This window comes from Homo sapiens, chromosome 8 (genome assembly GCF_000001405.40).
Source record: "Homo sapiens chromosome 8, GRCh38.p14 Primary Assembly".
NCBI lineage: Eukaryota > Metazoa > Chordata > Mammalia > Primates > Hominidae > Homo > Homo sapiens.
The window spans coordinates 101,051,074-101,076,601 of NC_000008.11; the positions used below are offsets into that span (position 1 = coordinate 101,051,074).

The 25,528-nt window shown below is 46.5% G+C and overlaps 1 long non-coding RNA gene across 1 annotated transcript; it reads left to right on the plus strand.

The window, feature by feature from the left end:
- The first annotated feature begins 980 nt into the window (after positions 1–980).
- SLEAR (STAT1 regulated ILF2 complex interacting lncRNA) lies at positions 981–25,178 on the plus strand. The gene is made up of 3 exons (NR_033962.1): positions 981–1,763; positions 3,425–3,506; positions 24,096–25,178. It is a non-coding gene; the product is annotated as an STAT1 regulated ILF2 complex interacting lncRNA (long non-coding RNA).
- The last annotated feature ends 350 nt before the right edge of the window (positions 25,179–25,528 follow it).

Consider the following 25,528-nt stretch of genomic DNA (forward strand, 5'->3'; position numbering starts at 1 on the left):
CAAGTTAATAAAACCAATGAAAGCTGGACAATAATATGGATATGAGTAGATCATTGTGGCCAAAGGATTGGAGAAGGGGAGCTTGATTGGAAGGGCATGTTAAGAGTCTAGGGGAGATGATATCAACTTCAACAAGTCAGGGATAGTGAGGATAGGGAGGATTGAATGTAACTGATTAATATCTTAGAGGCGCAATAGACAAAACTTGGAGACTGTGCACATGTTGCAGGGTTAAGGGTGAGGCCAAGGCAGGGGCTTGGGCAGCTGAACAGATTGTGACACCAGTGGTGAAAATAGAGAAAACAGGTGAAGGAGCCAGCTGGGTGTTAACGAATGATTTTGGTTTTAGATACCTTAAGATATGATCCCTTCAGAACAATAGCTTGGAGATCACCGTCATCAAAATATCCACTTGCCCAAATCTGTAGTCCCCAGGCCCCTGGAGCAAGGCCTGCTGCCCTGGGTGTCTTGGCAGTTGTTCAAGCACGACTGGAATCTGGCTTAGCATTAGGCCAAGTGAGCACAGAGACTTGCACTGCTGCATATTTAAAATTACTTGTCAGGAAAAGGAGCTACAGAGAAGAGGGGCTGTGACAGGGGAAGGCAAACATCCGCACCGTTCAATAATTCAGCGCAGAGCCGGTCTTGGCTGCTAAGTTACCACCACAAGGAGCATTTTTAAAGTCAAACCGAATTTCCATGAGAAGTCATGCCTGAGCAAGCTGGATCGTTGCCAAAAGACAAGAGAAGACTCCAGACCTTTCTGTAAACAGGCCCTGAGAGATACGGGGTACTGCATGATAAAGCTGTCAGTCTGGTCGCAGCAGCCTGGCATGTGACTCATTTGCATATGTCACTTCCTTTAGCGTAATCCAGTCCATGGGCCTCTAACTTCCAATCCTGTGGGCAAATAAAGCTGTCCAGCACAACCTGTGACGATCAGATTCAGGCTGTATTTAGTGGGGGAGGGATCTGGCCTCATATCCTTCATCTTTATGCTGCTCCACTCCAGCTCACAGCCCCTCCAACTGGATGGAGCTCTTCGAAGGGAGGGGCATTTCAGAGGAGGGTCTCAGGGATAGCCCCTTTGTGGGGCTGGGCCACCAGGTTGGGGAGAGTGGAGCTGCTGGAACTCTGGAGGGACTGGCTGAGCCAGCTTTCCCAGTGCACCCCTCTGGGAGGGCAGGCTCTCGGTGTAGGCTGCCCATCTCCTCGCTCTCCTCTGGCACTGCTCCTATGCCCCCTTGGTTAGCCTGGGAGCCCATACTACCCAGACTTGGGGTCAATAAGCAGAGGACCTGTAAGGAGTCCTTGATGGGATGTACAGCACTGCCCAACCCTGCACAAGGTAGGGTATTGCTGTTTGTTGTGTGGTGAGCTGCCTGCTTATGGCTGGGTTTGGGCCTCCATCCATTTTTATTTTCTTTGAGTTGGTCTCTGGGCAAAGCTTCTCCCAGCAGGCGGAATCTGGCCTGGGGGCTCCAGCTTCTCTCACCTGCCTGGCCTCCCAAGAGCTAGAGAGCTCCACATCTCAACTCATCTATAACTCATTAGCAGAACCATCAGCTAGCAGAAACTAGGAATAATAAAAATGTGCCGTATTTTCACAAGCTGGATGCCAGGCTTGGTGGTCAGGACACAGACTGCTTTCAGCTCCCACATGCCCCTCCTGCTAGCTGCTTTGTGCAGAGTAGTGGCTACATGGCTGCAGGTGAGAGCCCTGCCTGTGAACAGGCCACCAGGATGCTGGGACATACGAGTTGGTAAGTTCGGCTTTACAGACCCTTCTGCCATCCTCCCTCTGCCCTGCCATTATGTAATTCAAAATAAAAATGATACTAACACTTAAAACACAAAACTGATATAGATGCTGAGATTAAAATGATTTCACTTGAGATATCTAGATTGTAAAATTTCAGTTCAGTTCTCACTGAAGCCAAACATTTTTCAGTTTTGTGGGAGATGCCTGCTGGGCTGGGTCTCCAAATCCGTATTTCAGCTACCTATTGAGTCATCCAGCTCTGCACCCAAGGGCCCCAGACCCCAAGACTGCTTTCTTGCCCCTGCCAGCCCCTGTGGCTGGGCCTCTCTGATGCTGCCTGCCTCTCAGGGCCTGCCCATCCCTCCTCGATTCTATCATCCTGCTTAAGGAAACTCCTCAGACGCTAGCTAACAGGGCGTATGTCTGGCTTCTTCTTTCTCTTTCATGCTGGTTCCCTGAGTTTGGAGGAAACGTCTGGATTCACTCGAGGGCTCCATCCCAGAAGTGACACAGTTTTGCCTGCGCTCTTTTGTGTTTAGATTCCAAATCTTTCCTGATAATGTCTGAATCTCAATTTTAGTCTTGCCAATAACTGGATCCATAGTCATCCATCACACTTGGGGAGTCAGGACAGTGGAGAAAGAAAGTTTAGGAACTCTGGCTTCCTTTGTTCCCTTTGGTGGCTTTAAAATAAGTCCATGCATTATTTGATACTCCTCCCTTCAAGAGATGGAGCTGAATTCTCCTCTACAGTATGGGCTAGACTTAAGAAGTTGCTTCTTTTAAACAGAATGTGGCTTCTTTCTTGCTCTTTCTCTTGGATCAATCATTCTGGGGGAAGCCAGATACCATACTATGAGGACACTCGAATAGCCCTAGGGAGAGGCTCTTATGGTGAGGAACTAAGGCCTCCTGCCAGCAACCAGCAATGGACAGTCATACGAAAAAACCACCTAGGATTGGGAACTCCTGTCCCAGTCCAGCCTTCAGATGACTACAGCCCAGTCTTTTTTTTTTTTTTTTGAGATGGAGCCTTGCTCTGTTGCCCAGGCTGGAGTGCAGTGGCATGATCTTGTCTCACTGCAACCTCCGCCTCCCGGGTTCAAGCAGTTCTCCTGTTTCAGCCTCCCGAGTAGCTGGGATTACAGGCATGTGTCACCATGCCTGGCTAATTTCTGTATTTCTGTTTAAATACCTGTTTAAGTTCATGTATTTAAACATGTTCTAAAAATACAGAACATGTTTCAACATGTTTCATCATGTTGGCCAGGCTGGTCTCGAACTCCTGTCTTAAAGTGATCCACCCTCCTTGGCCTCCCAAAGTGCTGAGATTACAGGCATGAGCCACTGTGCCTGGCCCCCGTCAACATTTTGAGCACAGCCTAGTGAGAGATCCTGCACCACAGCCTGCCAGCTAAGCCACTTCCCAAATCCCAACTTTGTGAGATAATAAAATGTTAACTGTTTTAAGCTGCCAAATTATAAGGTAATTTGTTGCACAGCAATAGATAACTAATACATGCTCAAAAGATTCGACTGGAGAGAGGGATGGGAGGGGTCTCACCAAATACTTTTCTGTACAAGGAGCTTTCATTTGATTTCATCCCCCTTTCCCCTGAGAACATCACATCCTAATGGCTTATTTACTTCTCTGTCTCCCAGATAACCCATGGGCTCCTGAGAGCAGAGATTGTGACTTACTCATCTTTGATGTAGCCAAGTTCTAACAAACCTAAATGTGCAGGTAATGTAAAATTCTTTATTTTTCTATAACTCTCCGAATATCTATTTTGAGTATCTGCTCCAAGTGGCAGAAACAGCCAATTCTGGGCCCTTTACCTCTCAGATCTGACGTCACTCACTCCTTCCATGCCCTTTTGAGCCATGGGAAGCACCTGGCTGCCTCTGTACCCTGCAGGATGGGGAAATTCTCCCAGGAGTTCTCAGATCTGCTGGGACTCTATAAGATCTGCCACTTCCAGGCCACTTCTCTGGACAGGAGGCTAAAATCCCAGCCCCACTGCAACCTTAGGACTCACCACAATGGCTAATTCTTTTGCTTTCATCTTTACTCTTAGTTACTTGCCTCTGATTTCCAAATCTATTGTTTAGGGCCAGGACCAGGGACATTCAGGGCCGTGTGTGTGAGTGTGTGTATGTGTGTGTATGATTTTAAAACTTTTTAACAAATTATAAAGAAAATTTTAATATACAGGCCAGGCATGGTGGCTCACACCTGTCATCCCAGCACTTTGGGAGGCCAAGGTGGGCAGATCACTTGAGCTCAGGAGTTCAAGATCAGACTGGCCAACATGGTGGAACCCAATCTCTACTAAAAATACAAAAATTAGCTGGGTGGGGTGGTGGGTGCCTGTAGTCGCAGCTACTTAGGAGGCTGAGGTGGGAGGATTGCTTGAGCCTGGGAGGCAGAGGTTGCAGTGAGCCGAGATCACGCCACTGCACTCCCGCCTGGGTAACAGAGCCAGACCCTGTCTCAAAAAAATTTTTTTTAATATACAGAAAGATCAGAAAATAATATGACACTTTTGTACCTACTATCAAAAGTAAACAGATGTTCAAATTTTGTCATGTTTGCTTTAGATCCCTCTTTTCTTAAAAATAAAATAAATCACTATAGATAGAGCCAAATACTTCCACTCTCCTCTGCTCCCTGGAAGTATTGACTATGCTGAAACTGGCGTTCATCTGTCTCTTGTAGATTTTTGTTCTGTTATTATTTGTTTATGCATTTAAAAAGAATATGTTCTATTATATACATCTAAAAAGTTTTCTTATTGTATGTGTCACTTTTTTCCTACTCCATATTATGTTTATTTTCCTAATTTTAAGGTAGTAACTTACTTATAGCGAATTTTACTCTTTTTAGTGTAGTGTAGACTTATATATGTTTTGACAAATATGTCCAAACATGTAATTACCACCACAAGTAAGATATAGAACAGATTTGTTACCCCAAAAAGTTGCTACTAGGACCTTGATATTTGACATATATATACTAGGCTCTAGAAAATGGAAAGCCTACCCTTGAATCTCAAGAGTGTTTTGTCTGCCATTCTGCAGTGTTACTTCCTGCTTGAAGCAATCAATGCCTGAGAACTGAGGGGGAGATGGTGGCAGAGAGGTATGAAATTCACAAGCAGGAATCTCAGTTAATATGCAGCCACCCTTGCTCGCCCCCAGTCGAAGTCCTAGTGCCTAGTCAAAGCTAGATCCACGAGAAATATTGGTCATCTAGTGAGTAAATAAATGAATAAATGAAGCAACTTATATAGGAAGGTAGATAAGGGATTGTTCTCTTCTCCATCCTTTCTGAGTACTGGGAGTTACCAAGGAGGCTTCAAGGTTGGGCTTTAGCCCTGTTCCTTTGGTCTCCAATGCTGGGGGAGATGCGGATTGATTTCAGCCCCAGGAGCAAGGCGTCCTGCATTCCTATCTCCAATATTGCTCAATACAGTCTCGTAGGCTCTTCCTGGGTTATGTGAGTATCTCCTTATGGGATATCTGAGCTCTTGCTTGCCATCATTCACTCAGTGAACCAGCAGCTCAATGCTTTTTTTCCCCGTGAGAAGAATGAATTCACTTGGATTGTTAAGTATAAAAGTGTTAGGGAAAGACTCTTTTAAACTGCTAACCGTAAGGCTTAACCTCCCCGGTAATGGAGATCAGTGCTCCTTTCTACTTTCTTTGCAGCCCAAGGATCTTCAGTAACTATGGCTCCCCAGATGGTACATATTTTCCAAAGGAAAAATGGGTTATGATTGATTAGTTATGTCTGTACAAAAGATGGACAGAGATAGCAAGAGAGTAAATATAGCTGTGCTGTATTCACCAACCCTGAACCATGCCTTTGATGATGCCATATTACTTTTCCAGGATGTTGGTAAAACAAGACCTTCTATGGCAAAAAGCCTCTTCGCCCTTCTAGGATGCCCAGTTTCTTTTTCTTTTCTTTTTTTCTTTTCCTTTTTTTTTTTTTTTTGGAGACAGCGTCTCACTTTGTCACTTGTGCTGGAATCCAGTGGTGGACCACAGTTCACTGCAGCCTCGATTTCCTGTGCTCAAGCAATCCTCCCAGCTCAGCCTGCCAAGTAGCTAGGACTACAGGTGCACAGCACTGCACATGGCTAACTTTTTTTTTTGATATGGAGTCTTGCTCTGTTGCCCAGGCTAGAGTGCAGTAGCACCATCTCAGCTCACTGCAACCTCCGCCTCCCGGGTTCAAGTGATTCTCGTGCCTCAGCCTCCTAAGTAGCTGGGATTACAGGCATGTGCCACCACACCCAACTAATTTTTGCATTTTTAGTAGAGATGGGATTTCACCATGTTGGCCAGGCTGGTCTTGAACTCCTGACCTCAAGTGATCCACCTGCCTCAGCCTCCCAAAGTGTTGGGATTACAGGCATGAGCCACTGCACCTGGCCAATAACTTTTAAATTTTTTTGTAGAGAGGGGGTCATGCTATGTTGCTCAGGCTGGTCTCAAACTCCTGGGCTCAAGTGATCCTCCTGCCTTGTCCTCCCAAAGTGCTGGGATTATAGGCGTGAGTCACCATGCCCACCTGCCCAGTATGTTTTGGTGTCCCACAGCTAACTGACCTAGACAGACTCTATGTCTGGAAGCAGCAATGATGGAGGTGTTCTTCTTGTGGCTAGTCTGAGAAGATAACAGCAATGGAGTTGGCTTAGCACTCCTGCAGACCCTCTGTGCCAGAGGCAAACCAATACAGATGTCTGAACTGGCCTTCATTTCTTATTGAAGGTCTTGGCAGCAAGTCCCAGGGTATTTTCATTATTTAGCATCCTGATTGAGGTGTGCGTCTGTGTGAGAGAATGAAGCACACAGGTCCTGCATCTCATTGCTTCCTCTGCTGAAAGAAAACAGGCAGCCTAGCCTTGGGAATTCTAAGTCGCAATGGAAAAAAGAGCAGTCTCAACTCTTATCCACTTTTCTGTTGCATGTGCTGGCCCTATTGGGGTGGGCTGTCCATTGGGGGTTTGTTGACTTTTTGCTTCTGCTAACTGTTCACAAGAAAAAATCCAAGCAGAATCTCTGTGTTTTAAAAAGTACTTAGCTAAAGTATGCAGCAGATCTCTTTCTTCTGCCCCACGGGGGACTGGCAGGTCTCTACCAGTGCCCAGTGGAAGCAAAGCCGCTGCACAAAGAGGTGATGCCTTCACCCCGCAGGGCTCCTGTGGACCCCCTGGGGGAGGGGCAAATTCGGGGAACAGCAGCTGCTGAGGGCCAAGCTCCAATGATCTTCAGTTCTTGCTCACTGCAGATCAAAGAAGTCTTGCTGTGTCCAGATCATATAAATATTGAATAAGGCTGCTTGGAATCCTTAAAGGAGTTTGGAGAGGAGGAGGAGGAGTTCAATGCAGAAGATGGTATCAGAAAATGCTGAACTTCAGCTAAGAGCTAATACAAAAGTCAGCAACAAAGGAATGAGAATGGATCCTATCAGGCATGGCTTCTATTTTTGGCTTGGAATTTGCACACACATTGCTTTTAAGGTATAAGTCGTGCAAGAATTTGACTGTCTGGGTCAGAACAATGAGAAGGAGAAAAGCATTTATCTCTTGATTTGGTTTTCTAAACTTTCCTCCTTTATTTGGAAGTCCAGTATATTAACTTGAGGCTCCTGGCCTCACGCTGTCTTTCTACACTTGCTGCAGGAGAGTTCTCTACCCACTCCTGGGGCAGGTGGTCTCAAGGGTCTTTCATGAGTAGGCTATTCTCCAAATGACCCCTGTTGATTTAGGAGTCATGTTTGCTGGGAAGCCTTCCCTGACACCCCAAAAGTGGACCAGGCCCCTCTCTCTGCAGCCCCACAGGCCCCAGTGCTCACTTTCACCAGAGCACACGTAACACTGGCTTGTGTGAGTGTCCATCTCTCCCACTGCACTAGAGCAGCTGGGGCAGGCTCAGTGCCTTAGTCACCAGTACATCCCCAGCCCCTAGCACAGTGCCCAATACACAGCAGGTGCTCAAAAAACATGTGCTGAATGAATACACGAGGAGAAGTGTATGAGGGAAGTTCCCAGGGCGGCCCTCCAGCCAGAAGCTTCCTGAGTTCTTGTTGTGGCTTCTCTAGGTAATCGCTGGTACCACCCAGGAGATCAGAATACCGATCCCCCAACTTGTCTGCCCTCAAGTGTAGCACATCCAGTAGGCTACTTTATGAGACACGAAACTCTTTTCCCATGGTGTGGTGAGTCTGGGTGCAAATCTTTTTGGAGCAAGTGGTGGGCACGTAGTCAGGCATGAATTCTACCCCGTGGTTTAGAGTTAAAACCTGATTTCATGAGTCTCTTCACAGGCTTTTCAAATTCTCTCACCATCTCTGGCTGCTCTAAGCCCAGATTCTTGAAGTTTAATGTCTTTCTTCACATCTTACCTTTTTGTTTGTTTATTTATTTTGAGACAGGGGCTCATTCTGTCTCCCAGGCTGGAGTGCAGTGGTGTGATCACGTCTCACTGCAGCCTCGACCTCCCAGGCAATCCTCCTGCCTCAGACTCCCACGTAGCTGGGACCACAAGCACACACCCCTATGCCCAGCTAATTTTTTATTTTTGTAGAGATGGGGTCTCACTGTGTTGTCCAAGCTGGTCTCGAACTCTTGGTCTCAAGTGATCCGCCCTCCTTGGCTTTCCAAATTGTTGGGATTACAAGTGTAAGCCACCACACCCAGCCATATTTTACCTTAATTATTTTCCTTGTCAGAGGCTGGGACATCTCTCACTCTTTCTCTTCTTTATGGGTTTTTGGAAGATGAGGGCATTTTGGAGTCAAGGTCCTTTGGTTTCCAGTTGAAATTCCTCTCCTTGCAGCCCCTTGGAAGATTCTGTAGCCTGGTCTTGAGTCCCCTGTATTCATACTTTGTGTCCTTCCCCGTGCTCTGTTCTCCGTCCTCTCGTCCTCTCTGGAAGCTCTGTCCACTGAATGCATGTGCCCAGGCCTTGTGTCCCATTGAGGCTCACCCCCCAACCCATCCTCCACAGCCCCTGCCCTGCAGAAGATTCCTCATTCAGCCACATCCTCACCCGGGCTGTCATCAGCTCCACCTCCCACCAAGGGTCTCCCACTGACCTCCCTCAACTTCCCAACTTCCACCGCTTCAAAATTGTTTGCCCAGCCTGGGTCTCCCCTCCATGCACTGTGATTCAGGGAAAGGACTTGCGGTTTCAGATAGTCACTCACCTCTGTCCTCACTTGCTCTTTCTAATGAGAAGGTGCCATAGGCCTTGAGAAAGTGAGCAGGGATTTACCAGGAGGACAAAGGGAAAACCTCATTCCAGGAAGAGGAAATAGCCAATGCAAAGGCCCAAGGAAGAAAAAGAAGTGAAAAAAAAAAATGGCCAGCAACCTGGTGTGACGTGGGGTGGCGGGGAGCCTGGGGGACAGGGCTGAAATCCTTGCCTTGAAAATAATTTTACAGGGAATCATCAAAGTATCTTTGGCTAAGACTGTTATTCATTAGCTCTGTGTTTATATTGTATTCCTCAGTTCACAGACAAAGGGCTAGTCTTGAAATTGATAAAAACATTGATGAGCAAAATTAATTAGAAACTGATTGCTAAAAGTAGCCAAAGACCCATAGAATGAGTAAAAGATATGATTAGAAGTTCACAGAGGCTGAGTGTGGTCGCTCACCCCTGTAATCCCAGCACTTTGGGAGGATCGCTTGAGCCCAGGAGTTTGAGACCAGCCTGGGCAACAGAGCAAGACACCGTCTCTACAAAAATATATTTTTTGAGACGGGGTCTCCCTCTATCACCGAGGCTGGAGTGCAGTGCCAGGATCTTGGCTCACTGCAAACTCTGCTTGCCAGGTTCAAGCGATTCTCCTGTCTCAGCCTCCTGAGTAACTACTGGGATTAAAGGCGTGTGCCACAACGCTCAACTAATTTTTATATTTTTAGTAGAGACGGGGTTTCACCATGTTGGCCAGGCTGTTCTCGAACTCCTGACCTCAAGTGATTCACCAATCTTGGTCTCCCAAAGTGCTGGAATTACAGGCGTGAGCCACCGTCGTGCCCGGCCACTACAACAACAACAACAACAACAAATATATATATATATATATATATATATATATTTGTGTATATATATATATCTCACCTGGGCATGGTCACACAGACCTGTAGTCTTAGGTACTCAGGAGACCAAGATGGGAGGATTGCTTGAGCCGGGGAGGTCGAGGCTGCAGTGAACTGAGATCATGCCACTGCACTACAGCCTGGATGACAGAGCAAGACCCTGTCTCAAATAAATAAATAAATAAAAGTTTTAAAAATAACTCGGATGGGTGCAAAAGAACGTAATAGTGGTTGCCCAAGTGCAGGTCGGAGAAGTGTGGGAACTAGGCAGATAGGCAGCAGGGGCAAGGCAACTGTTCACCGTGAACCTTTTAATACACATTTCCTCAGATTTGAATCACGCAACTACGTACCCTATTCAAAACATCACATAAAAAATGAATTGCTTATTCCCACAGTCTTTTTTTCAGAATAGCTCTTCTGTAGCTCAACTGCCCGGGGAGCCCAGCATCCAGCTTTATGACTCACAAACCATCTCTGGTGATCTCAAGTGTTAAAAAATAACTCCCCCAAACAAATTCTTGGACACCTTTAGCGAGCAGCTGCCAGGGGTCACCCATCTGTGAGCCATTACAACTCCTTCCAGGTTGAAGATGACCCGCTGGTCTCTCTGGGGGCTCTGAGTTACGTGTCTGCGTTTCTCTACCTGCTTCTCTCCCACACAATTCATCAGTTTCAGGTGGTGTCTCCATGCCCTTTATTTTGGTATCTTTCTTCCCTGAGCATCTCTGCCCTAAGATGACCTGGCTGAGAAGTTCTGTGAGAGGTTCTCACCCTCTCTGGGCTTTGGGATCCCTTTTCCAGACGCTGTACTTGGTGCATATCCAATGTGCTTGCCCAACTTGAACACCTTATAAAAACCTTTGAAATCACTCTGTGAAAATCTTGCAAACAAGGAGCAGCTGGATTGGAGAAAGAGCCAGCCAGTTGCTTGCTACTTTCTCAGAAGTACGGTGGAAAGCACCACGTCCCAGAGTTCCAGGAGGTGAATGGCAATGTTAGCCTTTGCAGCCCTGGGATATGACTGCCTGAGACAATGGCCCTCTCCTCTACCAGTGGTGTTCATGCAGTTGCCCTCCTCAGGATGCATAGTCAGAAATTTCCCAGGAGAGCTGTGGGTCTGGACTTTCCTCCTTTTGGCCTAATTGCCCTGTGTCTGTCACATCTGTCACTCAGGTCTAAGCTAACTTACTACCCACACTTCCTTAGGCAGATGCTAAGTAAAAGATTAATAATCTGAAGTCCAACCAGGCCGACTCATTTCCCTCCTCTTCTTTTTGGAAGCTGACCTTTTAGAAGCATTCTATTCATTTGTGTATCGCTTGTTTCAGTCCCAGAATGAAAGAGTTCTGTATCTTTGGTTACACATTTGAATTCCCAACCAGTTATAAACTCTTAGAGTGTGCAGGGACCACCTGTTTGCCATCTTTGTTCACCCACAGCCACTAAAACACAGCCGACCCTCTGTAAATACTTGAGTAAATGAATGAATGAGAAGTTGAGTGGATCTCTAACACTATGTATTTGGATTACCTCTGTGCAGTGGAAATGTCTGTGATGATAGAGATGTTCTATAGCTGTGCTGTCCAATGCTGCGGCCACTGGCCGCAGGCAGCTACTGAGCTCTTCAAATGTGGCTGGTATGGCTGGAGAACCAAATTTTACATTTTAATTAATTTTATTGAAATGGTCATGCGTGGCTAGTGGCTATCATATAGAATGGTATAGATACAGGTCATTAGCTTTATAATTTGGTCATCCACATTGATCTACTATGGAACCTTCTTAATTAACTTTTCTTATTTCACAAGGCCCAAAAACTTTCAGCAACAGTTTTAGAAGCAGTGAAAAAGCATATAAGCACTTCCTATGATCACCACAGGCGGACAGAGGCCAAAAGGAGAAAGAGTGAATAGAAGTTCATTCTGCCTGCTTTTTTTCTGAGAAAGTCTTGGGTCCCTGGGAGTATAAAGAGTCAGCCTCTTGGTTTCTGACTCACCCAAGAGCCACCCCCTAGATTGCTCCAAGTCCCCACCAGCAGGCCAGGCACAGAGTCAGGGATGCATCTGAGGAAGAGTGCCACTTGCTGAGTCATCGGCACCATTTCTCCGAACAGGTGTTCTTTGGCCAACCTCCTGGGAGGGCGCCCCACCCGTGGTGCCTTCACCTGCAGGGTGACTGCAGCCCGTGGACAGGCATGAGGTTCATTCCTGCTCAGGAATGTTGGAGGTGGCATGGAGCTACCAGAAATGCATGCCCAGAGACCCTAGAGGAATGAGATCCAGAAACTGGTTTTGTGCTACGGCACAGGGGCTCTGCCAGAGGCTGAGTCCCCTGCAGCAACTTTAATGCCACACAAGGACCTTTTCTTCAGTACTTGGTCCACCTGGCTACACCCAATGTCTCTACTGGCAGAAGGCAGAGTACTTTGTCATGCAGGGTATGTGGGGCTCAACAGTCACAGTACAGGGTGGCTGGAGAGGAGGCACTTATGGATGTCTGTGTTTGTGTGTGTGTGTGTGTGTGTGTGTGTGTGTGAGATAGCGGGGGGATCCCCTAGATGCTACTGTCCTCGAAGGGCTAGAACAGGACAACCTCTCCACACCCAAGGTGAGCAGTGCTCATGCCTGTCTGCCAAAGGAAGGCAGTCCCCCTTTGCTTTCTGGGTTAGAGAATGTTCACAGAGCAAGTTATGAACACTCCCGTGATGCCAGGTCACTAAGCCAGAGTTCCCAGGGCTGCCCGCATCCTCTGCTCTCACCCCTGAGGGATACAAGCAAAAGGTACCTACCACCTAGCATGTCCCAGTCCTGAGTTATGCCATCCCCTCTGGGGAGCCCAACCTGCTTACCAGGTCTCATTTGGAAGACAAAAAGATTGCAGCGCCGGGTCCCTGACACAGCAGAACTCCCAGGGTGCCTGAGGCCTAGGGTAGTGTCTGGGTGCAGTCTTGTTTCGACATAACCTACACACCCTACAGGCCCAGCAGGCAGGGCGGGTGCAGCCCAAACTGCACATGACACACAGGAGAAGCTCCGATTCCCAGTTGCACAAACAATCCCTCATTCAGGGGCTCAGGGAAGTGCAGAGGTAGCTGTGACTCCGCACTGATGTGCCTCGCCCTTCTCTCACTCTGACTCTTCTGCCAACCACATCTTCAAAATCTTCGGGGCAGGGGCAAGTGTAGGTTTGGAGAATAACTGGTGTCCAGGTATCCAATTGCTGCAGGAATAAGATGCTGACATAATGGCAGGCTAGTGTCAGCTTGTCATCCGGGACTTTGCTTCTTGAAATCCCATCCAGCTGTGTCTAAAAGTCCTGTGGTTTCTATCGCCCTACTTTTTCAGAGCAACTTATCCCTGCAGACGGTGTGGCTATTTCTGGGTCAGGTGTGACTGAAAAGGCTGGTGTGAGCAGACCAGCCCGGCCATTCCAGAAGGCTCCTTTCGTGTTTCCTGGAGAAGGATTGTCTCAGTCTACAGCTGTGGCTTTGTCCATTTCTTGGGATGCTGAAGGTTAATACCTCCAGAAATTGTTCCCTAAATAAAGAACACTTAATTGAGGGCAAAGCTATCTGTGCAGCATAGTCAGAGAATTTTAGATTTGGATAGCTAAAGAGAACGTAGAGATCACAGCTTCATCTGAAGGGTGAGGAAAACAATACCAAAGAAGTTAGGTAATTTGGCTAATGCCACTCAGCTTATAGGCAGAGCTACCAGAACCTTGAGGAGGCAGTTGATCAAGACAATGCTTAAGTTCATGAGCTGAGATTGGCTTTGAATGGACATAGGAGACTTACTCTGGACTCCTCACTTAGAAGAAGGGGTATGGAGTCAAAATTATTTTGGTGAATGTTTTCCTTTTTCCCCCAGTATCAGACCCTAAATTTTAGCATCTATTAAGTAGGGTAATAACTTGTCCTCCTCATCAAATGTTTTGCTTTTTCTTTTTTCCTAGATTGTACTTACTGGATTTATGTAATTTGTGATTCACTTGATTGACTGAATCTGATTGCAGGGGATGACTCAGATCCACCTTCCCATCTCCAGGGAAGATGGTGCTGGGGTCAAAAGATGCCAAGACCTCTTGGGGGGATGACCTCCAAGGTTGAATAAGGGGCAAAGCTTAATCTGCCCTTTCTCCCTGATAACCTGCCTGTCAACTCTCAGGGAATTTGGACTGGTATGTACTGAGATGAGAATGAGAGGGTGATACCCTCTTATGCTTTATGTAAACTTTGGTCAGATGAACCCCTCTGGCCTGGGGAGAGATGTGCAGAGCCTCATTGCCATGGACTGGGATATGCCAAGAGATGAGTGAAGCCTCTGCATTTTCTGTGAGCCAGATATTGTCTCTTTTCTCTATCTTGCCCTGGAAATGCAGGGGCCTCTCAAAATAGGGTCTAGTAAAAGGATCAGCTAATGTTTTCCACAATTTTTTTTTTTTTTTTGAGACTGAGTCTTGCCAGGCTGGAGTGCAATGGCACGATCTTGGCTCACTGCAACCTCCACCTCCCGGGTTTAAGTGATTCTCCTGCCTCAGCCTCCCAGTAGCCACCACGCCCAGCTAATTTTTGTATTTTTAGTAGAGATGGGGTTTCACCATGTTGGTCAGCATGGTCTCAATCTCTTGACCTCGTGATCCACCTGCCTCAGCCTCCCAAAGTTCTGGGATTATAGGCATGAGCCACCATGCCCGGCCCATAAGGTTCTTTAAAGAAAGTTTTTAAAAGAACGTTCTTTAAAGAAAGTTTTTAATTGTTCTGCTGGAGGTCATTCCAGTTCCGTTTCCGAAATAGTTGCTGGTTAAGAATCTGGTGTCCACCCATTCTCCATGGCAGGCCAGTTCTGTGGTGGAAACACTGCTATTCTGGACACGTCATGGTTATAAACTGGTTCTGGGGCTGATGGTTGATGTACCCCACTGAACTAGGAGTGTATTTGATACTATTTGGTAAAATTCTCTCAACAAGATTTTACATTCCAGGCTGAGTGTGGTGGTTCATGCCTGTAATCCCAGCACTTTGGGAGGCTGAGGTAGGCGGATCACTTGAGGCCAGGAGTTCAAGACCAGCCTGACAACATGGTGAAACCTCATCTCTACTAAAAAATACAAAACTTGGCCGGGCATGCTGGAGCATGCCTGTAGCCCCAGCTACCCAGGAGGCTGAGGCACAGGAATTGCTTGAACCTGGGAGGCAGAGGTTGCAGTGAGCCGAGATCGTGCCACCGTACTCCAGCCTGGGTGACAGAGCGAGACTCTGTTTCAAAAAACCAAACAAACAAAAAGAGATTTTACATTCCTTTAGCCCAAATAATGCAGTTTATATTTTCTTTGATTTCCCTTCTAGTACATAGCCTGAACATATTGTAGACAGTAAAATTTAATTTGAGTTTTTAAAGGCTTAAATTAGGCAGAAACATACATGTGAGTAAAATAGCCCATGTGTTGAAAATAGAGTACAGATTTATAGTAAAAATATAGTGTTACTTATTCAAGTTGACAATGAGAAACAATGATTTTTTTTTTTAACAAAAAGTTATCTTGGTAAAGAACTGATTCAAAAGTCCAAAAGTTTTCAATAACATTCCTCAAAAAATGTGACAGTAAATGTTGCAGACAGCAATTATTTAGCTTGGAAGGTGTAAACTTTGCATTTATATACGTAAGGAAGACAAATAACACCTCTGAAAACTTAAAACTAGTATGAATAAAAGTGTTGATAGGCCAGGCGCAGTGGCTTATGCCTGTAGTCCCAGTACTTTGGGAGGCTGAGGCAGGTGGATCACTTGAGCCCTGGAGTTCGAGACCAGCCTGGGCAACATGGTGAAACCCCATCTCCACAAAAAATACAAAACTTAGCTGGGTGTGGTGGTGCATGCCTATAGTCCCAGTTACTCAGGAGGCTGAGGTGGGAGGATCACTTGAACCCAGGAGGTGGAGGCTGCAGTGAGCTGTGACCACACTACTGCACCCCAGCCCTGGGACAAGCAAGACTCTGTCTCAAAAAAAAAAAAATTGTTGAGAAATGCCACAGATATTGAAGTCATCCTTGAGATGATTTATTATTCTAGCATGCGTTGAAAGGATAAACTGGGCAAACATGTCAGGTTTGAACAGATCAGGGGAAAGTGGGTCTTGAAAGTGCCCTCGCAGAGCTGGAGAGCCGGGGCCAGGATGTCACCGAGAGCCACCACGTGTCATCCTTTCAAGGGGCTTTCCCATACCTGAGGCCTGATGCTTGCTCGAGGAAGCTGAGTCCCCAGAGGCATTTGCAGCCTGTGTACACCTGGAAATTAAAGGTAGTATCTGGCTCCTTTTCTTTTAGCTGAGTCAAAGGCAGAGTTGGTGCCTGATCATTTACTTTAATTTCTAACAACATGGGGGCTTATGCAGTCCCTGCTACAATCACATGATCTCCAGCTGATAGGGGAGAGGGCAGGAGGCAGGAACTCAGGCTCTGGAAAGCAGCACTTCACTGGGAGACAATGCGCAAGAGTAGCTGTCATTTTTATGTCCAAATTGCTCAGCTCTGGAAGGTTCTGTCAGGGCAGGAGGCCGAGGAAGGTTGAAAGCAGGAATTGTTTTGCTCTCTTGGGCATGGTAGCAGATTGAATACCAACAATAGCACATACACTTAAATCATTCCATTGGGCTGGAGATGTTTTAGCCCAAGGTCACTTATTTCCAGTTTGAAGTAAAATGATCTAAGTTGTTGCCTTAACATTTTCAGATGCATTTTTGAGTTGAGCTTTGGCCATGCTGTCAGGCAGGAGCTTTGAGAAATGTTGTTAGCTTTGGAAACTGCTCCTTCTGCAAGGACCTGCGTGGCCTGGAGAGGTTAACCCATTTCCCAAGGCTCCTCTTTGGGCCGGGAGACCTCGGTGCCCCTCTGACCTGCTTTTGTCCTGGTTCCTAGTTCGAGCCCACGGAAGTCTTTCACCTTTGCTTTTCTGAAGGACTTTCAAAAGTCTGGAAAAAAACAATAAACAAAACCCAAACACACACACGTGGGGTCAGATTTCTGCATTTGGATGCTGCTTTGACCACAATAATGTCTATTCCTTAGAAATGTGCCACTGCCTTTTATTTTCAATGGTCAATTTTAACACAAGGAGATTTGGTGTCTGAAATACTAAATGTTTGCAGGCTGTGATGATCTCAGCCCAAGAGTGATGGGAACAGGCCCAGAAGAAGGGGTGCCCATGGGCATGACCCCTGGTTCACTCCCCACCCCTTGGGAATAAACTTCCATCCTCGTTTCTTTGTTGGGGACTCCACAAGCAAATGGAAGGTGGTAAAGTTTGAGCCTCCTATAAAAGTCTTCTTCCCTCTCCTGGGTGAGACAGGCCTGGAGGGAGGAACTGCTTCATTGCTGAGTTATGCAGCACACACTTGCTGTGCGTCCGGAGCTGAGCTGAGCTATGTAAGATCAAGAGCAGAGGGGGCTTTGTTCTTGGTCATTGGGAGCTCCATGCAGAGATATGGAATCCCAGAGGCCTCAGATGCAGATTGAAGAGGATTTAACAAGGCCCGTGACTTTCTGGGGACATCTCTTGCCAGGCTCAGGTATCTGGTGGGCACTAGGTATGTATTCACTCCAAGAGTGGTACTGAGAATGTCCCCTTTAGGCCCAAAGATGAACTTTGAATTTTGAAATGAACTTCCAAAACATATGTTTAATGTGTAACAACCAGCTCTTGGGGTTGGGGAGAAGCCCTGATTTTGTATTGTTTGCCAATTTCTGTGGTATAAATACTCTCACCATGGCTGATTTGAAGCTAGCAACATCATGTCAACTGGCTTGCAAATTTTCTGAAAATTAACAATGGGCTTTTGCAAGTAAAGTCCAGCTGCAGCTCACCACTGGCTCTAGCCCAGCATGGTATTACCGAAACTGACCTGAAGACACAGAGCTTTGGAGCCAACAGACCTGGAGAGGACTCCAGGTGCATTCTAATTCTCCTCTCTGTGTTTCATCAAACTCGTGAATAAAACCCACCTGCATGTGGGAGACATTTTAATGGGGGGACAGACTCCCTTCACTGAAGATAAATTATTATTTCTTGGTACAGTGGAAGGCAAAGAGGGAAGTGGGAATTCCACTGCACGCGTCTTTGCGAAGCACATTCTGTGTATCAGAGTCTGTGTGAGGAGCTGGGAGAGATTCATGAGGAATATGACCTGCCCTTGTGGAGCTCCCAGTCTGAGCGGAGAGACAGACAGGACAACCAGTAACTGCAGAACAGAGCAACGTGGAAAATGTCCTGTAGTATTTGATCTAACAAAGAACTAAGGGAGGGCAAAGGAGAAATGATCAATTCAGATTTATGGAATTGGAAAAAGGCATCGTGTGTTTGATGAATGGATGTAAGTCTTCCAGCAGAAGGTCAGATGTGTAGCAGGAGTTCCCCAAACATTGATTCCCATCTAGGGTGCTTTCCACTCTAAGAATTCTGTGTCCTAGTACCAGTGTGCAGAGAAAACTGAGTAGATGCTGGATGAGCTGTGCCTACAATTATCTGCAAAATGAAAGCTAAAAAGCCAAAGGCCTATTTGTAGCTGAATTACCAAACGCTGAGAGGATCTGCCTGGCAGGATCTGGGTTGGCTGTCCTCGCTGCCCAGAAACAGTGCACAGTTTTCTGCTATCCATCTCACTAGAGCTGGGGACTGTGGCATCCCAATCACAGGTACTAGAGGGCTGGGGGAAGTGCTGAGATGGGGGAAAATAGTGGGGGTGGTTATCTTTCCAGGAAGGATCCAGAACACAGTGGCATTTTCAGTACCAGCTTCTGCAGTCTTTGTAGATGTGCTTCCTGCATTCCAGTGCCCTCCTGAAGGGAGGATTGGGGAACGGGCTCCAGCAGGAGGATGCAGACATCACACAGATTGGCAAGGCCCGCTCTCCTATTTATGGGGGAGAGAGTGTGCTGTGGAACCTGATGGCTGAGAACTTGTTCTTAGGGTGTGCGAGGGGGTGGGGGAAGGAGAGAGGAAAGGGAAACATCTGATTATTTGAGCCCAAGCCCAGCACCACCAAGTGAAGCCCGCCCCGCGAAAGGCAGCGTGAGCCTTCCTTATCTTGAGATTTAGGGGAGCTCTTGCAGCTTGCACCCTGGGAATTCTCCTCAACCCTCCCACACAGCAAGGAAGATGCCTGGCAATGTGTGTTTGCCTGCCTGACTGTCTGCTGCCTGGGAGAGGCTCCCACTTCAGCATCTCTGCCAGAATCTGGAGCCCTGGATGGGTGTGTGGGAGTGGGGCAGGGAGGGGGTGCTGGGGAGGGTATTTGCTGCTCTCACTGGCCAGGGTGGGGGACATCTGTTTGGGGATGAGAGACAGAGTGAGAAGGTGCTTGAGCTATTAGCTGGTTCATCCAGCTCACTCACTCTGAGGGGGCCAGGAAGCAATGATTTGTAAGTTCTGGTGTGTGTGTGTGTGTGTGTGTGTGTGTGAGAGAGAGAGAGACAGAGAGGGAGAGAGAGAAGTCATGAGAAAGCAACTTGGGGTAAATAGGCAATACTTGTCCTTAGCAACCATTACCTTAATCCAAAGTAATTTAAATTATTTTACAAATGTTATTTATTTGTCAAATAAATTTACAAGTATAATTACGTATAAATTGGATTGTTGGTTTTGTTGATGGCTTGTTTAAGGGATTATTGAAGAATGAAAACACTCGCTGGAACAATCTGGCCCTCCCTCCCCATTTTATTCAGAAAACAACAAGAAAAAAAATCTTTAGAGAAAAATGTTCTGTCTCCCCATTTTTTCCCACTTGTCCATTACCTCTCACCACTGCAATTTCTCTCTCTGCTTCCCTTTGATCCCCATGCCAGTTCACTCTGTTTAGTCATTCATTCACTCACTCATTCATTCAATCAATCAGTCAACCAGTTGGTCAGTCAACAGACATATCTCAGGCACACGTGCCAGGCATTAGTATCTATGGGTGGAGGCTGTTAAGTAAGCTGATTTTCATTTTCATTTAGTCTCAGAGTTTCCGAACAGTTCATTTCACTCCCAAAAGGAGTGCACTTGCAGTCTTCTCTCGGGGAAAATGTCTGATTATCTGAGCCAGCAAAGGCAGCTGGGATGCCCTGGAGGTTTCCTGCATCCTGCCGGGCTTGGCCAAGATGACACCAGGGGCTCTCGCCGATGCTGAGATTCCATGGTTTTGTTGTTATAATTTTTAACGTAATTGAATAGACACGAAGGAAGGACTGTGGTCCCTAAATTAGATTTTCCCCCTTAACTCCCAAGTGATCAATTCCAGTAAAGTCAAGGCCAGACAGGCTCCCTGACTCACGACTCACGCTGAGCTCTGCCTTCTCTCCAGTGTTTGACTACCTGAGAGCTGTCTAGATTGAGCTGAAGGAATTCAGAAAAGGGCAGTATGAATTCTTCAGCGTGGAGGCCGACTTTGTGGAGAGGAGGCAGGGCCTATGTCGATGCTGCTCGCTCTATTTTCAGGGCTTGGCACCATTCATCCTCAAAAAGGCTACGGGTCCTCACTCAGAATTAAAGGTAATGATTAAAAATTACGGGCAGGACAGGCCAGGTGCGGTGGCTCACGCCTCTAAGCACTATGGGAGGCCGAGGTGGGCAGATCACGAGGTCAGGAGTTCGAGACTAGCCTGGCCAATATAGTGACACCCCATCTGTATTAAAAATACAAAAATTAGCCGGGCGTGGTGGTGTGCTCCTGTAGTCCCAGCTACTTGGGAGGCCGAGGCAGAAGAATCACTTGAACCCGGGAGGCAGAGGTTGCAATGAGCCGAGATCATGCCACTGCACTCTAGCCTGGAGGACAGAGCGAGACTCCATCTCAAAAAAAAAAAAAAAAAAAAATTATGGACAGGACAAAAAGGCAGAAATCAAGCACAAGGCTAGTTTCTCATCGGAGATCCTGCAGCCTCGCTGAGTCACACCAGGCAGAAGGAAGCAGAGTTTCACTTCAGGCCACATCGGTTCGCTCTAACAGGCAGGTTTTGGCATCCCCACGAGGCGTGTCTGCACTCTGGGAACCTGCGAGAGTAAGCTCCATGCTGGCTACCCTGATAATGTGAACCCTCTGCCTGCTGCCCCAGCTGCACTGGTTGCTGGGGAAAGCCTGCGTTTTGGGTGTGCCTAGGGCCAGGGCTCAGACCATTATCTCCCTGCAGCCTTGCATGCCTTCCCTTGCCTGGCTACCATTCTCATCAGAAAAAGCAGGATTCTTGCTTTAAGTCCTGGTGATTTACATGGAGAATAATAAGTTCTGGTTTAATCATCCCTCCAAAGATGAAGAAATTCTCCACCGAGCCCACTCTTCTCTTGACTTCTGTTCAGAAATCAAGTATTAATATAAATCGAAGCTCTCTCCTTCCTCCCATGCCAGAGGCTGTTCTGCAAAGCTGCCATTCATAGGGAGAACTGGCGATGAAGTGTCTGTCAAAAGGACTGTTTTTACAATTGGGACCTGCCTGTAGTGGTGATGAGGTAATTTCTTCTTAAGCTTCTGGTATCCAAGGAGAGAAAAAAGAACAGCAAAACAAGCTCTGTTAATAAAGGTGTGAGAGTCTTTGGGTGTTTGCTGTTATTAAAGAGACCTTAAGGAAGGCTGCTTCTGAGCTAAAAGCAAACTTTTGTCAAAGGTTCATTTTAGAAGGTTCAAAAGACACCAGAGAGAGAGAGAACAAGAGGCAGGAAGAGGCAGGCACAGAGAGAGGGGATGAGAGGAAGAGAGGGAGCGGGCAGGAGAGCCACGCTGTGCTGGGAGTCACACATGCGGGCTTGGGCAGTTTGATCACTGGAAAAATGTTTTCTGTTAAGGGTTGGTGCAATGGAAGAGAGAAATCTCTCGATTTTTTTTTTTAGGATGTGCTTTTGCTGCTGCTGCTCTGTCCGCCTAGAATGCTCTTTTCTGCCCATCTTTAACCCATCTTTTCTAAATGGCTCAGTTCAAATGGCCCCTCCTCTGTGAAGCCTTCTTTGATATCCCCAGTGAGATACATAATTGTTTCACCTTCTGTAAGTCAATAGTAGTTTTTTTCTTTAAAATTTTTGTATTTATTTTTATTTTATTTAATTAATTAATTTATTTTTGACACAGAATTTTGCTCTTGTCCTCCAGGCTGGAGCGCAATGGTGCGATCTTGGCTCACTGCAACCTCTGCCTCCCAGGTTCAAGCAATTGTACCTGCTTCAGCCTCTCCAGTAGCTGGGATTACAGGCATCTGCCACCACACCCAGCTAATTTTTGTATTTTTTTTTAGCAGGGATGGGGTTTCACCATGTTGGCCAGGCTGGTCTCGAACTCCTGACCTTGGGTGATCCACCAGCCTCGGCCTCCCAAAGTTCTGGGATTATAGGCATGAGCCACCGCGCCTGGCCTATTTTTATTTTTTGAGACAGAGTCTCTCTCTGTCACCCAGGCTGGAGTGCAGTGGCATGATCTTGGCTCACTGCAACCTCCACCTCCCAGGCTCAAGAGATTCTCACGCCTCAGCCTCCTGAGTAGCTGGGACTATAGGCATGTGCCACCATACCTGGCTAATTTTTGTATTTTTAGTAGAGACAGGGTTTCACCATGTTGGCCAGGCTGGTCTTGAACTCCTGACCTCAAGTGATCCACCCGCCTCAGCCTCCAAAAGTGCTGAGATTACAGGCATGAGCCACCATGCCCGGCCCAAAATTTTTATTTTTAATTGTGGTAGAATACACATAAGATAAAATTTACCATCTTCAATGTTTCTATGTGTACATTTCAGCAGTGTTAAGTGTATCCACATTGTTGTGCAACCACCCTCCAGAACTTTCTCATCTTGCAAAACTGAAACTTTATCCATTAAAAAACAACTCTCTATTTCCCAATCCCCTCAGTCCCTGCAACTACCATGTTATTTTCTGTCTCTTAACTACTGTAGGTACCCGGTAAGTGAAGTCATACAATAGTAGTCTTTCTGTGACTGGTTTATTGCACTTCATATGATGTCCTCAAGGTTTACCCATGTTGTAGCATGCGTCAAAATTTCTTTCCTTTTCAAGGAATAGTAATTTAATTTAATTTTTAAATGGCATTTATAACATGCTGTCTTATTTTTAAGCTATGTGTGCATATTATATCTCCCCTGTGGAATTTGAAATTCTGAGTTTCTCTCCCTTTGGAGTCCCATTGTACCTACAGCCCAGTGCTTGGCAGAGAGTTTGTGCTAAAGAACATTAGTTGAGAGCATCAAAAGACCAATGCTACCTTATTGTCTTGAGTGGGCACTCCTAGACCTCTCTCTCCTTCCATACCATACCCCCAAAAGGCTCAACAGCAATGTTTTGTTTGTTTGTTTTCTTACAGACAGGGTCTTACTCTGTCACCCGGGCTGTAAAGTAGTGGCATGATCATAGCTCATGGCAACCTTGAACTGTTGGGCTCAAGCAATCCTCCTACCTCAGCCTCCCGAAGTGCTGGGACTACAGGTGTGCACCACCACACCCAGCTAATTTTTAAAGTTTTTTGAGAGATAGGGTCTTGCTATGTTGCCCAGACTGGTCTCAAACTCCTGGTCTCAAGCAATCTTCCTGCCTCAGCCTCCCTAAGTGCTTGGATTATAGGCATGAGCCACCATGCCTGGCATCTAGGGCAATTCAACCTAGTCCATGTTGTCAAGGGGAGATGAGCACAAAGGGATTGGTATCAGCAATTTTAGGCTTGTCTTAGCCTTGAACGAGGCCCTCATCTTCTCCTGGCTTGAGCCTCTGCTTCCTTTTGGGAAACACATTTGAAACACCTTTCCTGAAACAGAAAAGCTGACCCAATCTTAAAAGAACAGAAGGCCAGGACAGAAAGAGTGAGGAGTGCAGGAGACAAGTCATGCAAGAATGGAAGCTAGTATTTAGATTTTTTATCCTGTTAACTTTCTGGATGTGTGTGTCATCCTTGTTAGTAGGCATCTTCTGATAAAGGTGGGGTTGGTAATGGGGTGGGGGTCAGGGGACTGTGGAAGTCTTGCTATTAATCATACTAAGCATCTTTTCTCACCTTCTTCCCCCAAGTCGTCCCTGTGGAAGATTTGCCTATTATGCAACTCAGGAACAATAAGGGAAGCCTGGCTAAAATTTGGCTTAGAATCTTGGAGAACTAACTGTAACTTTATGCTTGGTCTGTAATAGCTATTTTTGGAGTTACTTTAGTTAGCTTGGCTCCTAACCCTGCCCTTTCCCTTTGTTCTCCTACAGCCATTTGTAAGAGAGGATCATGGAATGAATACGGGCATTGAGTCAAGCAGTCTGTGTTCCACTGGCGGTGTGACCTGGGGCAGGCCATTTCACCTCACTGAGCCTTAGTTTCCTCACCTGTAAAATGTGAAAAATATCACCTTCCTTACCAGGCTTTTCTGAGGATTTAATGACATCATGTTCAGTGCCCAGTATGGGTGGATAATACCCAGGAGTTTCCTCCTCTTCTCCTCCTAAGTTGACTTGATGCCCCCCGCTGAAGATCATGGCTGAACTGGCTCAATTCGGATCCAGGACTCCTGGCTTTGTCTCTTCCCTAGTTGCCCACCACACCCATGGACACCCTTAGGTAGTTTATCCTTTTGGGACAACTGGATTTATTAGAAAAGGGTATTCTGGGGTGGAATAAGGCCCTTTTCAGTCCCCATGGAGCCTTTTTGGAAGATGAAGTTCTCAAACCCACAAGAGAATTCATAAGACGAGCACACCACCCACAGTTAGGTTTCCCTCTCAAGTGCTTTATCTCCACGTGGGGCAAATAGCTCTTTGTCTGCATATGTTATTGGAGCTTTTGGAGTCCAGCCTTCAGAAGAGCTCTAATTTTTGGATTCATATCAGTTTATTAGAGAAGCCTAGTTCTAAGGATTAGCAAATGGGTAGGTGCTCAGCCAGCCCAGAACAAGCAGAGCCATGACAGAAGTTTCTGGAATCTCACAGAGTCGGTGTCTTCATGGACTCAGGGGGCCTAAATCCAATAGCCTGGATTTGTCACTTTCCCTTATTCCCTTATCAAACTCTTCCCTTTTGGACATCAGAGAAGGAAAGTACTTCCTGTAAGGGGGCAATTTGCAAAGCTTCATGGAAGTGGCATTTGAGTGTGGCCTTAAAGGATGTGTAGGATTGGGAACCATAGATATTTAGAGGAAGGCATTCCTGGCAGAAGGAACAGCAGCAAAACACAGAAGTGGAAATTAGTAGCAGCATTAATGGAGAATAATTTGGGGAATAAGATATACAAATGGAATAATAAAAATAGCATTAATTAAACATTGTGGGAGTCATTCTGTAAGATGGCCCCTGGTGATCTCCGCCTCCTGTTCTTCATGCCTTATGTAACCGCTCTCCTTGAGTGTGGTCTGGAATTACTGACTCACTTTCAATGCACAGAATGTATCAGAAGTAATGGGATATTCCTTCTGAGAATAGATTATAAAAAAAGAGTGTGGCTTCCTTCCTGGCATTTTCGCTTGCTCTCTCTTTAATTGTGTGCTCCAAACAAAGCCAGCTGCCATGTTGTGAGGAAGCCCTGTGTGGAGGACCACATGGTGAGGACGGAGGCCTGCCAACAACCACATGGTGAGCTTAGACGCACCCCTCCCCAGTTCCAGCCAAGCCTTCAAATGGGACCACTTGACCAACTGCTTGACTACAGT